We start from the raw sequence: 2,674 nt of genomic DNA on the forward strand, positions 1-2,674 counted from the left end.
TTAATATGTACTTTATTTTTTATTTTGAATACTTGATTATTTTTGTGGGTACATAGTGGGTATATATATTTACATGGGGTACATGAGAAATATATACATGGGGTACATGAGATGTTTTGATACAGGCATGCAATGTGAAATAAGCACATCATGGAGAATGGGGTATCCATTCCCGCAAGCATTTATCCTTTGAGTTACAAGTAATCCAGTTTTATTCCTTAAGTTATTTTAAAATATACGATCATCATTGACGATAGTCACCCTATGGTGCTATGAAAGAGCAGGGGTATTATATATTTTAGATAAAAATGTTTTTGTTAGGATAAAAGATAGATGAAAGGGGCTCGGAAGAGGAGACAGCGGTTGTCCAGGGCCTGCGGTTCACCGCCTCAGTGAAGGGCTCCACCGCAACCACCAGGCTTGTTGCTTTCCTGGGCGCCAGTCCCCAGCGAGCCGCACGCCAAGCCAGCAGCACGGCACCGATTCTTCTCTGGCTCTTGGGTGCTGCTCTGAGCAGCGTCACCCTTTCAGCGTCACCAGAAAGCTGGCAGGCACCATGTGGAAAAATTTAAACAAGAAAAAACTGTGGTAGAGGTGCCGAATGAGGAAAAGGAGTGTGTGGTGGAAGAAGTTCTCCACTGTTGTGCGGTGAAGGGTAAAGTGGAATAGCCGCTAAAGTGGAAGGGTTTCGCAGATGAGGACGACAAACACAGGGGGAGCCAGATGAGAACGTCATTGCTGAGTTTCTGCAGTCACAGAAAACAGCCCGAGACAGATGAGTCAGAGGGAGGCAAGCACAAAGCTGTTTCCGATTCTGGAGGTAAGGGAGAGGAGGTCAAACCTAAGAAGAAGAAGTCGTCAGAAAAGCCAAGAGGGGCTTTGCCCTGGGTTTTGAGTCACAGAGGATTATTGGAGCTACCGACTCCAGTGGAGAGAGAGCCCATGTTCCTGATGAAATGGAAAGCCTCTAATGAGGCTGACCTGGCTTCTGCCAAGGAAGCCAATGTCAAGTGCTCACAGATTGACATATCCTTATGTGAGGAAAGGCCAGTGTGGTATTTCTACCCCTCAGAGGATGATAACAAGAATGATGACAAGAATTAATTCTTCTGAGTACCAGCTTCTGTGACATCTGACTGTGGGTTTCAAGAGGGAAGGGCAAGAGTTCTACTTGTCTTGACACCATAGAAGTGGCTTGAGACGATGTTCTTTGAAGAGCAAGTATAGTTTTCTGTGTCCTGCAGCAACCCAAGTGCTTTAACGTCCTTTGGAGCTATATAGTGTGCACATATGGAAGGGGAAGGGGATAAATGTTTCAAGGCAACCGGTTTTAAACTTTGCTGAGAAAAACAACGGGTCTTCAATGACGAACAAAATCTGCGGATTTGGATGTGTGGGAGAGCAAAAAAGATACTGTAGATCTTCAAAGAGCCTCTCTACAATCCACAGTCCTCTTCCCAGTAGTGTTAACTATGCATTTTTTACAGCATAGCATGTCTGTAGTTGTTGGCTATTACTGGTGTATTATTTGGGGGTGGGAGGGATGTGGAGGGAGGAAGGGAGATGGACAGGTTCATTTGGGTTAAAATTTGGGGCCTGATTCAGGAAATGATAAAACAGTGGAAAGAACAGGTAACTAACTACTTGCTTCTATGCTCACAATATTTTACCTTTTCAAAAAATGACATTGACACCATAAATGAGGACTATAATAGACTGTTTAGATGTTGTAAATACGTGAAATCTATAAGTGAAGGTGTTCCCTGCCTGAGCTTAATGCTCTTCTCCACAAAGACCATTTCATAAGTTCCAAAGCTGCCATTTTGAAGATGGTAACTGACTGAAGAGGAAAGTCTTTTCTTGGAGAGTATAAACAGGCATATCATTCTGTATCAGAGGTGTTAATTCTTGAAATTAGACAAGAAGACCCTTGATTTTTTAATTATGAAGTTACAAATATCAGCTTGTTCATAGAATGCACTGGCTGAGGTATTTGGGGAGGGGAAGAAGGTGGCATAGTAGATGGAAGAGTAGGAAAAGGAAAAGACCCACATTGTTAGAATTCTTGAAGTGTCTCTGTTTTTTTTTTTTTGAGTTTCAAACTCTGAAACCACTGGTGGAAGGGGTCAGCCACAGACAGCACAATTTTCATTAAATCTACTCAAAGGTTGAATAATTTCAAAAGTTCTGTCCTCAAGAGAAGTTTAAACTTTCATACTGGGTTACTGGTTCACTTTAAAACACACACACACACACACACACACACACACACACACACACACCCCTCAACAGAAAAACATTTTTTAAAAATATTCTAAGAATTAACTGATACCTAAAGTGCTCTGTCTTGAATCATGAGAACAACAAGCTCTTGACATTGTCTAGACCTGAATCTAGTACTACATTGTGAAATCTTTTTAGTCATTTGTTAGGTTTCTGTGAAAACCTTGTTTTATTATAAACTTCATACCATGCATGCTGTCAGTTTTTATCTTAATAAAATCAGTTCTTTAATCTCCAAATACACAAACAATAAAGATAGACTGAAGGAAAAGGTACTGAAGTGAAGAACACAAATTAAAAAGTGGTTATACCAGTAGACCAGATTTTAGGAAGCAAAAGCAGTGAAGAAAACAGGGGAAATGCATCAGACAGATATGGAATCCTTCCGTGA

The 2,674-nt window shown here is 41.2% G+C and overlaps 1 pseudogene; it reads left to right on the top strand.

The window, feature by feature from the left end:
• CBX1P5 (chromobox 1 pseudogene 5) lies at window positions 345-2,259 on the top strand (annotated as a pseudogene).

Source organism: Homo sapiens, chromosome 3 (assembly GCF_000001405.40).
Source record: "Homo sapiens chromosome 3, GRCh38.p14 Primary Assembly".
NCBI lineage: Eukaryota > Metazoa > Chordata > Mammalia > Primates > Hominidae > Homo > Homo sapiens.